Below are 12,080 nucleotides of genomic sequence, written 5' to 3' on the forward strand. Positions count from 1 at the left end.
CTCCCACCTTGGCCTCCCAACGTGCTGGGATTATTAAGGGTTTCTTACATTAGTCACGGTAGATCCTGCTCTTACATTAGTCATGGTAGATCCTGTTCTTTTTTTTTTTTTTTTTTTTTTTTGAGACGGAGTCTTGCTCTGTCGCCCAGGCTGGAGTGCAGTGGCGTGATCTCGGCTCCCTGCAAGCTCCACCCTTCAGGTTCACGCCATTCTCCTGCTTCAGCCTCCGGAGTAGCTGGGACTACAGGCGCCCGCCACCACGCCCAGCTAATTTTCTGTATTTTTAGTAGAGATGGGGTTTCACTGTGTTAGCCAGGATGCTCTCCATCTGCTGACCTTGTGATCCGCCCTCCTCGGCCTCCCAAAGTGCTGGGATTACAGGCGTGAGCCACCGCGCCTGGCTATATCCTGTTCTTACATTAGTCACGGGTCCTGTTCTTACATTAGTCAAGGTAGGTCTTGTCGTATCTTTACTTTTAACACTGTTTATTGTGGACCTTTTCCTTTTTTTTTTTTTTTTTGAGAGTCTTGCTCTGTCGCCCAGGCTGGAGTACAGTGACACAATCTCGGTTCACTGTAACCTCTGCTTCCTGGTTCAAGCGATTCTCCTGCCTCAGTCTCCCGAGTAGCCAGGATTACAGGCATGCGCCACACCCAGCTAATTTTTGTATTTTAGTAGAAATGAGGTTTCACCCTTTTGGCCAGGATGGTCTAGAACTTCTGACCTCAGGTGATCCACCTGCCTCAGCCTCCCAAAGTGCTGGGATTACAGGCGTGAGCCACCGCATCTGGCCACCAGTGGATTCTTTTTTTTTTTTTTTTTTTTTCCTGACGGAGTCTTGCCCTGTAGCCCAGGCTGGAGTGCAGTGGTGTCATCTTGGCTCACTGCAACCTCCGCCTCCCAGGTTCAAGCGATTCTTCTGCTTTAACCTCCTGAGTAACTGGGATTACAGGTGCACGCCACCACACCCGGCTAATTTTTTGTATCTTTTGTGGGGTTTCACCATTTTGGCCAGTCTTCTCTTGGACTCCTGGCCTCGTGATCTGCCTGCCTCGGCCTCCCAAAGTTCTGGGACTACAGGCGTGAGCCACTGCACCTGGTGGACTGGATTCTTTTAAAGCAAACCCATAGTTTTGAATCTTATATGCTCTGAGTACGTTTCTTTAAATTCAGAGAAACACCACAGCATCATAACACCTGAACGTTCTTACGAGCATCCAGTCAGGTGTTCCCAGCAGCTTCATAAATCTCTTTTCGCAGTTGATTTATTCACATCAAGGGCCAGTCAAGGTTCACATACACCAGGGATCAGTGATCGTTTCTGGACTCACTTTTAAATTCTCCGATGACAAACGTCAAGCCTGAAACCCAGGGCCTAGGGCCAGACGTTGAAGATAAAATGTTTCCAAGTCACAGCCTAAAGCTGGGTGTTAGCTAAAATGTTACAAAGTCACAATAATGATGACAGGGCGGTGGGGGGTGGGGGGTGGCTGTTAGGACCGGCTCCCAGATGGCACCGTGAGGCAGGGAGAGGCTCCAGGATGCTGTAGGAGCTCCCGGAGGGCCTTGGACAGTTCTGCTGTTTGCACTTGTCAAAATAGGCAAATTCCTGTTCCTCCTGGTGATGCTGGCTGGGAGCGATGGGGGATCGCGGCTCCTAGTTCAGAAGGACCGGGCTGTTCCTTTCTCTCTGGGCCTTAGGGGGGTCTCTCTCCCTCCTGTGTCCTGAAGGGGAACCTGCAGGGGAAATCTGTTGTGTCAGGACCCCTACCCTCAGAGCCACTGTCTGCTCTGTCCCCTCAGGAATGGGTACCACAGACCATGTCATCGTCCTGGCGTCCACGAACCGAGCTGACATTTTGGACGGTGCTCTGATGAGGCCAGGCCGACTGGACCGGCACGTCTTCATTGATCTCCCCACGCTGCAGGTCAGAGCCAGGATCCCAGCCTCTCCCACTCCACCTGGGCCGCCCCCACTCGCTCTGAGTGGTCTGGCCTCTCCTCTAAGACACTTCTTGGTGTGAAGCCTGTCACAGCCCCACAGGTGCTGGCAGTGTCCAGCGTGGCCCCCGCATCGGCTGCACGCCCCCAGCAGACCTGCCCACCGGCTGCACTCACTGCTGTGGCCCCCACATTGGCTGCACGCCCCCTGGCAGACCTGCCCAATGGCTGCACTCACTGCTCGGGGTTTTGCAGTTCTGTTCACCTGCTATTGGTTTTCCTTTTATCCTGGGTATCAGTCTGGTTTTTATAGCAAATCCTTTGAAACAAAATCCAGGAGGAAAAATTGTGGGAAACTTTATTCTTGTGTGGCATCACTTCCTTCCATCCGTAGCGTGGGCTCTGGGGACGTGGACTGTGCAGCTGCCCTGAAATTGGGGTGGGAGTAGAAGTCCTGAGGCCTCTCGCCTGATCCCTCCTCTGTCACAGGGCTCTGGTTGGACGTTACACTTCCTGGCCAAAGGGCCTTTGTTGCTGCCCTGAGGGAGCAGGAGTTCAGCTCATGGAGCGGAGGGTTTGGAGAGAGGGCCTCCGGGTCTGCTGGTGGGTTAATGTTCCATCAGTGCAGCCTGGGGAGCAGGGCTGGGCTCAGCGGCTCTCAGCCGGTGCTCAGTCTCTGTTGGGATGGAGAGTGAAGGGCGGAGCAGAAGCCCTTCCCGCTGGGACACGGCTTCTCCAGGGGACACTGCTTCTCCAGGGGACATGGCTTCTCCAGGGGACACGGCTTCTCCAGGGGACATGGCTTCTCCAGGGGACACTGTTTCTCCAGGGGACACTGTTTCTCCAGGGGATGGCAGCTTCTCCAGGGGACACGGCTTCTCCAGGGGAGGGCAGCTTCTCCAGGGGAGGGCGGCTCCTGGCTTTTTGACTGTGTAAGAAACATTTTACATCAGGATTTAGACGCATGGAACATGTGTGGGAATTGGAAGTTTTGCAGAATAAGCATTTGCTGTGTGTGACGTGCTTCATTAGCTATTCTGCTATAATTTTTTCTTTTTTCTTTTTAATTTTTCTTTCAATTTTTAGAGAAAGGGTGTTGCGCTGTCACCCAGGCTGGAGTGCAGTGCTGCGATCACCACTCACTGCGGCCTCAACCTTCAGGGCTCAAGCTGAGGAGCTAGGACTACTATGGGCGTGCGCCGCCGTGCTGGTTAATTTTTAACAGAGTCTCGCTGTGTTGCCAAGGCTGGTGTCAAACCCCTGGCCTCAAGTGATCCCCACCCACCTCTCCTTCCAAGAGCGTTCTCTTTTTTTTTTTTTTGAGACAGTCTCACTCTATCCCCCAGGCTGGAGTGCAGCGGCGCGATCTCGGCTCACTGCAACCACCATCTCCCAGGTTCAAGTGATTGTCCCGCCTCAGCCTCCCGAGTAGCTGGGATTACAGGCACCCGCCGTCTTGCCTGGCTAATTTTTGTATTTTAGTAGGGATGGGGTTTCACCGTGTTGGCCAGACTGCCCACTTCAGCCTCCCAAAGTGCTAGGATTACAGGTGTGAGCCACCGGGCCCGGCCATCCAACAGTGTTCTGTTCGTGTTTAAAATGCTGCTTGTGGCCAGGCATGGTGGCTCACGCCTGTAACCCCAGCACTTTGGGAGGCCGAGGCAGGTGGATCACTTGAAGCCAGGAGTTCGAGACCAGCCTAGCCAACTTTGCGAAACCCCGTCTCTACTAAAAATACAAAACTCAGGCATGATGGCACACACTTGTAATCCCAGCTACTTGGGGACCCCCCCCCCCCACAGACAAACATGCCGCACCTGTGGCAGTAACTAGGCTTGAGCCCGACTGTCTTTCCTCCCCTGGTTCTGGCAGGAGAGGCGGGAGATTTTTGAGCAGCACCTGAAGAGCCTGAAGCTGACCCAGTCCAGCACCTTTTACTCCCAGCGTCTGGCAGAGCTGACACCAGGATTCAGTGGTACGTTCTCAACCCGCAGCCTGGGCAGCGTCACGTCCTGAGGGCAGGTGGTGTCACCTGCGCAAACAGCATCGAGGCCTCCTCTGTGGGGTGGGCGCTGCTCCTTCTCTGGGGGCCTCTGCTCAGTACAAGCCTGGGAGGGAGCTGATGTGTATGTGGGGCAGCAGGAGGTCCAGACGGCACCCGCACTCCGTCCTCCGCCCCGGGGTGGAAAAGCAGACGGTGGTTCCCGGTCTGTGTTGTTTCCAGAGATAGTGGAGTTATGTTGCTTCCACACAGTGACCAGTCATGCCGGCGTTTCCCGTCAGACCCAGAGTCAGACCACGCAGTCCCGGCAAAGCCGCCTCCCTCTGACCCTCACGGTCTCTGTCAAGTTGTAGAAATAGAAATCATACCTCAAGATGCTTTTCCTGCTGTGTGGTTCACATTTTAAAAGTTAATGTCAACAAACCTCCCTTTTATTATGAGATGAATTTGCCCTTTGATTATTCGTTAGGGTCTTTCACTAGAATTTTGTGGTTACTAGAGAGCCTTTAATTTCTTTGCCATCAATGCTCATGAGCTGTTAGGTGGAATCAGCCACAAGATGGGGTGTGGAACTAACTGCCCTTGGGAGGAGAGACGGGCGTCAGGGCGGATGGAGCCTGGCGGTTCTGTGTCTCGTCTGTGGAATGGCCTCAGTGGAACACGGTGCAAGTGCCTGCCGCTCTCCCCACCCCTGCTCCTGGCGCCGGCGCCTGCCGCTCTCCCCAGCTCTGCTCCTGGCGCCAGCTCCCCGTGCCTCTCTCCCAGACGCTCTCACCAGCACTCTTGGTTCTTGGTCTCTTTTCCCTCTTTGTTCTTCCTTTTATTTATTTACTTATTTATTTTGAGACAGAGTCCTACTCTGTCGCCCAGACTGGAGTGCAGTGGCGTGATCTTGGCTCCCCGCAGCCTCCGCCTCCTGGGTTCAACCGATTTTCCTGCCTCAGCCTCCTGAGTAGCTGGGATTACAGGCGCTCACCACCACGCCCGGCTAATTTTTGTATTTTTAGTAGCAATAGGGTTTCACCCTGTTGGCCAGGCTGGTCTCAAACTCCTGACCTCAGGTGATCTGCCCACCTCAGCCTCCCAAAGTGCTGGGATTACAGGGGTGAGCCACCATGCCCGGCCATCTTTGTTCTCCCTTGAGGGCCCCTTCCTCCTCTTAAGCCCTGATAGCAGAAACCCACCCACCCACACCGTGGCTGTTTGTGTTGACAGGGGCTGACATCGCCAACATCTGCAATGAGGCTGCGCTGCACGCGGCGCGGGAGGGACACACTTCCGTGCACACTCTCAACTTCGAGTACGCCGTGGAGCGCGTCCTCGCAGGTACAGGGGGCGCGCCCTGGGTGAAGGCCCTCCTTAGCAGGGCTTGAACCCCAGAAATACCCAGGCAGGTATTGAGAGGTGAGGTGGATGGAACCATCACACAGGAAGGAACACACGTTGCGTTTCAGTTCTGCGTAACTCATGTCTTTATGATACCTTGTACTTTTCCTTAGTTTAAAATATCACAGATTTACCTAAGAGTAGACGCTCGTCCAACAGAAATAAAAAATGCCTTGCCAAAGAAAGTGAAAAAATAAAAATAAAAAATGCCCCCCAAAAATAAAAATAATAAAAACTAAAAATGTCTTGCCAGCCTGGGTGTGGTGGGCTCAGCCTAGCCCCAGCCTCATGGGGGCTGAGCTCCAGCCGCTGACTGTGGGCCGGAGGGCTGCTGCCGCCCGTGGCTGTGGAGGGACAGCCGTGCTTTCAGCGCAGCAGGGGCTCTGCGGAGAGGTGTGGATCTGCAGCACCACCTCTGGTGAAACTCATGGTCCCGACCGTCAGTAGGAACGGGAGATGAGTTTTGGTGACGGGTGACCGGTGGGCTGACCGCCTCTGACTGCCGTTCCGTGGCTGCTCAGTGTGGGGTCTGCGACGTCTGTGAGGAGAGAGGACCAAACTGGGAATCGGAGCTGCTGGAGGTTTCCATAGCTATGATGGCAACACCCAGACGTGATCAGTCATCTCATGGAATGGAGTTCAGACCCGCACTGTCAGTGTGAGACAGGTTGAACGTTTGAAAAGGGAAGTGGTTCTTGCCCCAGGTGTTTGAGGAGCACGAGCCTCCTTTGCGAGCTATCCCTGCGAGAACCGAGTTCCTCACCCTCAATTCGAGTGAATTCCTAGCACGAACACGCCTCTTGCAGGTCCCCAGGGCTTCAGCTTGGGAAAGCAGTGGGTTCCTGCAGAGGAGTGGGGCAGCTGCTGTGCCAGACACTGCAAAACACACCTGGCTTCTCTCCGACAGCCCTGCGGGTCGAGAGGACTGGCGCTGCCTGTGTCTTACTGAAATTTATTTTCGTGTAACCATTTACTTTTATGTGGAAATCGAAAAGCTTTTGATAATAGTAGCAAAGCAGGAAGGACTGAGTGGGAACCACAAGCCAGTTGAAAGAAAATACATGACGTACTTGAGTGCTCAGGACCACGAGCTGATTCAAGTTGTACAGAATGGACACTTACAGATGTGTGGAAAATCTGAGACAGGAAATGAAGCCTCACCAGTAAGCTGAACAGGGGAGATTTAATGCAAACATTTGTCCCTGGCTGGGCACTGTGGCTCATGCCTGTAATCCCAGCACTTTGGGGGCTGAGGCAGGAGGGTTGCTTGAGGCCAGGAGTTTGAGACCAGCCTGGGCAATACAGCAAGACCCCATCTCTTAAAAGAAAAGAATAAAGAGTATTAGCCAGGCATGGTGGTGGAGCACACCTCTGGTCTCAGCTACTCAGGAGGCTGCAGCAGGAGGATTGCTTGAACCTGGGAGGTTGAAGCAACAGTGAGCCGTGATCGCACCACTGCCCTCCAGCCTGGGCAACAGAGTGAGACCCTGTCACTGACAGAAAAAAAGCCTTGTCCCTGAGGCAAAAAGCTTCTGAAGGGGTGAGTAGAAGCCATAAGGATCCAGAAAGTGATGGGGATGGGAGCTGCGCCTCCAGGTCTGAGGGGAGAGGGAAAGTAAGCAGGAGGCCCGTAACTCAGAGGAGGCCTCTGCCCATCCTGCCAGGGAGAAAGTCAAAAGCTGCTGTTCTGTGACCCTTGCCCCGACCCTGTGGCACCCCCCCAACCATGGGGCAGGAGGAGACACTCCTCAGAGGGTTGCACTTGTTCCTAAAAGCAGCAGGAGCTATTTCGATGATTGCAACATTTATAAAAGAAGAAATCACGACCTCCTTCAACAGCCCTTTGACCTGAAGAGTGTCGTTTTGAGTTGGGGTGTCCAGAGCCGCAGCTGCAGCTCCAAGAGGCAGATGTGCAGAGAGAGGCTTGCTTTGACCACACGGGGCAGGAGCAGGGCCCAGCCAGGGAGAGGCCGGGGTCTCAGCTCACCCCCCCGTCATTCTTTTTTGTTTGTTTTTTGAGACGGAGTCTTGCTCTGTCGCCCAGCCTGGAGTGCAGTGGCATGATCTTGCCCTACTGTAACCTCCGTCTCTCAGGTTCAAGTGATTCTCTTGCCTCAGCCTCCCAAGTAGCTGGGACTGCAGGCGCCCGCCATCACACCTAGCTAATTTTTCTATTTTTAGTAGGGACGGGGTTTCACCATATTGGTCGGGCTGGTCTCGAACTCCTGTCCTCAGGTCATCCGCCCGCCTTGGCCTCCCACAGCGCTGGGATTACAGGCGTGAGCCACCGCGCCCAACTCATACCCCGGCATTCTTTCAGGGACTGCCAAAAAGAGCAAGATCCTGTCCAAGGAAGAACAGAAAGTGGTTGCGTTTCATGAGTCGGGCCACGCCTTGGTGGGCTGGATGCTGGAGCACACGGAGGCCGTGATGAAGGTGGGTCTTGGCAGGTGCCGGCTCCACGGGCCTTGGCCAAAGGTGGGTGGGGAGTCCCGCCTGTGTCTGTAGCTGACTGGGGAGTCCCGCCTGTGTCTGTAGCTGACTGGGGAGTCCCGCCTGTGTCTGTAGGTCATGTGAGAGGAAAGCCTGCCACTGTCATGATCCATGGAGCAGGGTGGGTGGCGACTGATGGGCGGGAACTCGGACGTGGGAGGCAGGAGTGGGCTGTGTCACATCGGAGCATGGTGCTGCTACTGGGGTGACTCGTGGAAGGTTACACCATGCAATGGGGTTTCGCTGCCTTTGCCTGTCCACCCCAAATGACTCCTAACATTGGAAAGAAGTGAGTTGAGTGTACATTTAAAAAATACTATTCTAGGCTGGGCATGGTGGATCACCTGAGGTCAGGAGTTCAAGACCAGCCTGGCCAACAGGGCAAAACTGTCTCTACTTCAAACAAACAAACAAAAAACTACTCTTGTAGGCAGCTGTGAACTCGATGGACATTTATTCTTACCAAATGGTGATGTTACAGCTTCTCTAAGACGTGGCTCCACCACCGGGAGTCCGAGTGCTGCCAAGAGGAGGTCTCTACTCGGAACGCAGGTGCCGTCTTTACAGTGGAGCCCCAGGAAGCCGTGCAGGTTTGAGGCTCACCTGAGAAGGCGGCAGTGCTGTGTTCCTACCTCAGGGTTCACTGCAAACAATGCATACGCTGTAGCAGTTGCCAGCTTGGTTTGTCAGTGCTGGTCTCCGTGATTGGTTCTCAGGTGTGAGTTGTAGCAAAGTTGCGTGTTAATCAGAGAGCGTCCTGCCCATCCCAGGGTCTCAGCAGGGCTGAGGCAGCGTTTGGGGACCAGATCCGTGCTGCTCCTTGGCGATGTGCACCACAGTCATGGGACCAGAGCTAGGCCCACTGTGGGGCGAGTGGACACTCAGCTGGGGGTCCCATTTATGGGACACTAAAAAACTCAGCAGTGAACACGACGTTTTAACACGGTATGTCAAGAAATCAAAATTAATGCAGGGACTTTGGGAGGCCAAGGCGGGCAGATCACTTGAGGTCAGGAGTTCGAGACCAGCCTGGCCAACCTGGTGAAACCCCATCTCTACCAAAAATACAAAAGAATTAGCTGGGCGTGGTGGTGCGTACCTGTAACCCTAGCCACTTGAGAGGTAGAGGCACAAGAATCGCTTAAACCCGGGAGGCAGAGTCTGCAGTGAGCCAAGACTGTGCCACTGTACTCCAGCCTGGGTGACAGAGCAAGACTGTCTCTCAAAGGGAAAAAAAAAGAATTTTTACTGTATTTGATGGGCAAAAGTCAGATAGTCACAATGAAAAAGTGAGTCTCTTTCCCAAGGCTCAGTGTCCTGCCAGGAAAAGGTTGTGAATTGGCTGTTATGGTTTTGGTCATTAATGCAATCATCACTGCAGCCGTTATTTAGAGCTTCTTTTTGTTTTGAGACAGGGTCTCTCTCTCTGTTGCCCAGACCGGAGTCCAGTGGTGCGATCACAGCTCACTGCAGCCTCGACCTTCCGGGCTCACACGATCCTCCTACCTCAGCCTCCTGCATAGCTGGGACTACAGGCATGCCCCACTGGTGGCTCGAGTGATTTTTATATTTTTTGTAGCGAAGGGGTCTCGTTATGTTGCCCAGGCTAGTCTCGAACTCCTGGGCTCATGCAATCTGCCCACCTCTAACTCCCAAAGTACCGAGATCACAGATGTGAGCGACCCCGCCCAGCCTAGTTTTAGATTTTAAATTAAGCGTCCTCGGGATTCTCAGAGCACTTGGATGTGGCCATCTCGCCGCCACAATTCTCAGAAGCAGCAGCTGGGCCAGCCCCTGCCCCGTCTCCGTCCGTCTCCCACTCAGCGGTTCCGTGTTGTCGAGTTAGCTCGTTGCCCCGCGCCACCTCCTTGCACACCTGATGTGGGGCTGTGGGGGAGCAGCAGAGGTGAGGACAGCCTCTGCTGCCTCAGCATCGTGGGGTTCTCATTGCTCTGAACCCTCAGTAGCTGTCGCTGGTGTGAGGGGTCAGCGCAGCGGCCATCGGGGGTGAAACTTGTCCTTCGCCTCTCAGCTGTCTTCTACGGGCCTTGTCTTCTTGACTCCCTGCCTGTCTAGTCATGTATGAGAAGACACTTCCCGGCAGTGTGTGAACAGGCACCTGTGGTGGGAACGCTGCTGTCTCTGGGCTGGCCATCTAGAGTGTTAGGATCCCCTGTTGTTGTAGAGGATGCTGCACATTTGCCTTCCTGCTTTGAGACGCTTTAATGACGGAGACCTCTTAGTCCCACACCTTCCTCCTCAAAGCCCACGCATCCTGCCTACTGACCTGGGTCATCTTGACCTTGTGCCAGGTCTCCATAACCCCTCGGACAAACGCCGCCCTGGGCTTTGCTCAGATGCTCCCCAGAGACCAGCACCTCTTCACCAAGGAGCAGCTGTTTGAGCGGATGTGCATGGCCCTGGGAGGACGGGCCTCGGAAGCACTGTCCTTCAACGAGGTCACTTCTGGTGAGGAGCAGCGGCGCGGGCCCTGGAGGTTTCAGAGCGCTTTTCCCTGCATGACTCCTTCTGTTCCAGTGCATGCCATGGGGTGAATCTGGTGTAGACGTAGCTTTGAATTTATTAAGTATTTTGTAAAAGATAAGTTGTGGTCATAAGAGAGTTGGAGCTAAGCAAGACTTCTTAGATAATTTAATTGGACAAAAACTTAACCTATATGCCAACTCTAGACACATTTAATTGGTTAATTGTTGGTAATGGCTACAGGAAACGGAATAAAATTGAAGCGGCTTCATTGTTCTGAAGCCATTACTGCACTGGGATATCCAGAGAGCTGAAGGAGGGTCCCGGGGGCCCCTGGGCTCCAGGTCCATGGGTTTGCCTCGCATAGGCCTGGGCTTGTGCTTGAGAACTGCCATGCAGTGAGCTCCAGTATGCCCCCGGGTTCTAGATTTCCAAATAAAAGAGCATTTCGGAAAGTTTTAAGACTCTCTTAAGGAACAGTGGTGAGGTGCCAACGTCCTCACTGTCCAGCTTCACGGTGGGTCCTCGGGAGGAAGGGGATGGAGGTGGTGCTGCCTCAGTGCTCTGACCGGGACACCTGGGGCCCAGCACTGCTCTGCGCCTGCAGTGCTGAGGATGCCTCTGTCTCGACCCCGCCCTCCAGGGGCACAGGACGACCTGAGGAAGGTCACCCGCATCGCCTACTCCATGGTGAAGCAGTTTGGGATGGCACCTGGCATCGGGCCCATCTCCTTCCCTGAGGCGCAGGAGGGCCTCATGGGCATCGGGCGGCGCCCCTTCAGCCAAGGCCTGCAGCAGATGATGGACCATGTGAGTCGGCTCTGGCCACACCGCTGCCCTCTGTGCTCCCCGGGGAGGGAGTCCCTGGGTCTACCACACAAGGGTCGCCCACGGCCGCCCCAGCGGAGCTCAGCTGCAGGCCCCACCTGGGTTTCTTCCTTCTGGGCTCTGCTGTAGTTCCCACCTGTGGAGTATTTTCTTCTCAAATGAGGACATAGATGCTCCTAATGAAATTATAGATGTGAATCTGGGAAGAATATCAAATAAATACACCGAGCAATAGACCCAGGGCCCACATGTCCTTCAGACTGGGCCAGGAAGGGCCGATGTGTGCCTGTGAGGCAGCTGTGGGTGGGTGTGGGTGGGTGGGCTGGCATGCGGAGCCCTGCTTTCCTGGCACTGGTCACAGGGGCAGGAGACCACCTGTCGGCTGAGGAGTCCTGTTCCTCCTGGGAGGGGAAAGGCCGTGTTCCCAGTCTGCCATTTCTTTTCTGTGCTTTGGTGCTGGAGCCAGGCGGCCAGCCTTGCCCCTGACACAGTTCCCTCCACTCACAGGAAGCAAGACTGCTGGTGGCCAAGGCCTACAGACACACCGAGAAGGTGCTGCAGGACAACCTGGACAAGTTGCAGGCGGTGAGGCCCTGGCCAGGCGTGGGGGCTACGGCGTCACACAGTGTCCACACAGCACCCACGGTCCCCACCCCTCTCGTGAAGTATTTCCAAGGCACACAGAGTACAGAGAACACTCTGACCGATGTGAATTCTACCCAGCTCAACTGAAACTTACGTGTTCCATACTTTTTATCCTGAACTCGTCAAGTGTGTTCCCCCGAGGTAGAAAGAAGGCTGCCACAGTCTCCTGTGCCTCTTCCTGCCATTAGCAATTACCAATGTTTTGTCAGTTTTGTTTAATCTTTTCCCAAGTCTTACACTTTTTTCTTGAACATTTTTTTAAAACAAAGCTTTAATTTTAGAGTAGGAATTTTTTTTTCT

The 12,080-nt window shown here is 54.2% G+C and overlaps 1 protein-coding gene across 6 annotated transcripts in view; it reads left to right on the forward strand.

Annotated features, from left to right (window-relative positions):
• SPG7 (SPG7 matrix AAA peptidase subunit, paraplegin) overlaps positions 1-12,080 on the forward strand; it is a 49,381-nt gene that overhangs the window by 34,456 nt on the left and 2,845 nt on the right. For 4 of the 6 annotated variants that reach the window (NM_001363850.1, NM_003119.4, XM_047434537.1 and 1 more), the window contains 7 exons: positions 1,805-1,929; positions 3,815-3,917; positions 5,160-5,270; positions 7,651-7,766; positions 10,136-10,292; positions 10,951-11,117; positions 11,643-11,720. In NM_001363850.1, the coding sequence (NP_001350779.1) occupies positions 1,805-1,929; positions 3,815-3,917; positions 5,160-5,270; positions 7,651-7,766; positions 10,136-10,292; positions 10,951-11,117; positions 11,643-11,720 (857 nt within the window). Of the gene's footprint in view, positions 1-1,804; positions 1,930-3,028; positions 3,334-3,814; positions 3,918-5,159; positions 5,271-5,851; positions 5,940-7,650; positions 7,767-10,135; positions 10,293-10,950; positions 11,118-11,642; positions 11,721-12,080 lie in introns of those variants that run through there. The other 2 variants (XM_017023598.2, XM_047434538.1) reach the window with 2 other exon arrangements.

The sequence above is a fragment of the Homo sapiens genome, chromosome 16, assembly GCF_000001405.40.
Source record: "Homo sapiens chromosome 16, GRCh38.p14 Primary Assembly".
Lineage (NCBI taxonomy): Eukaryota > Metazoa > Chordata > Mammalia > Primates > Hominidae > Homo > Homo sapiens.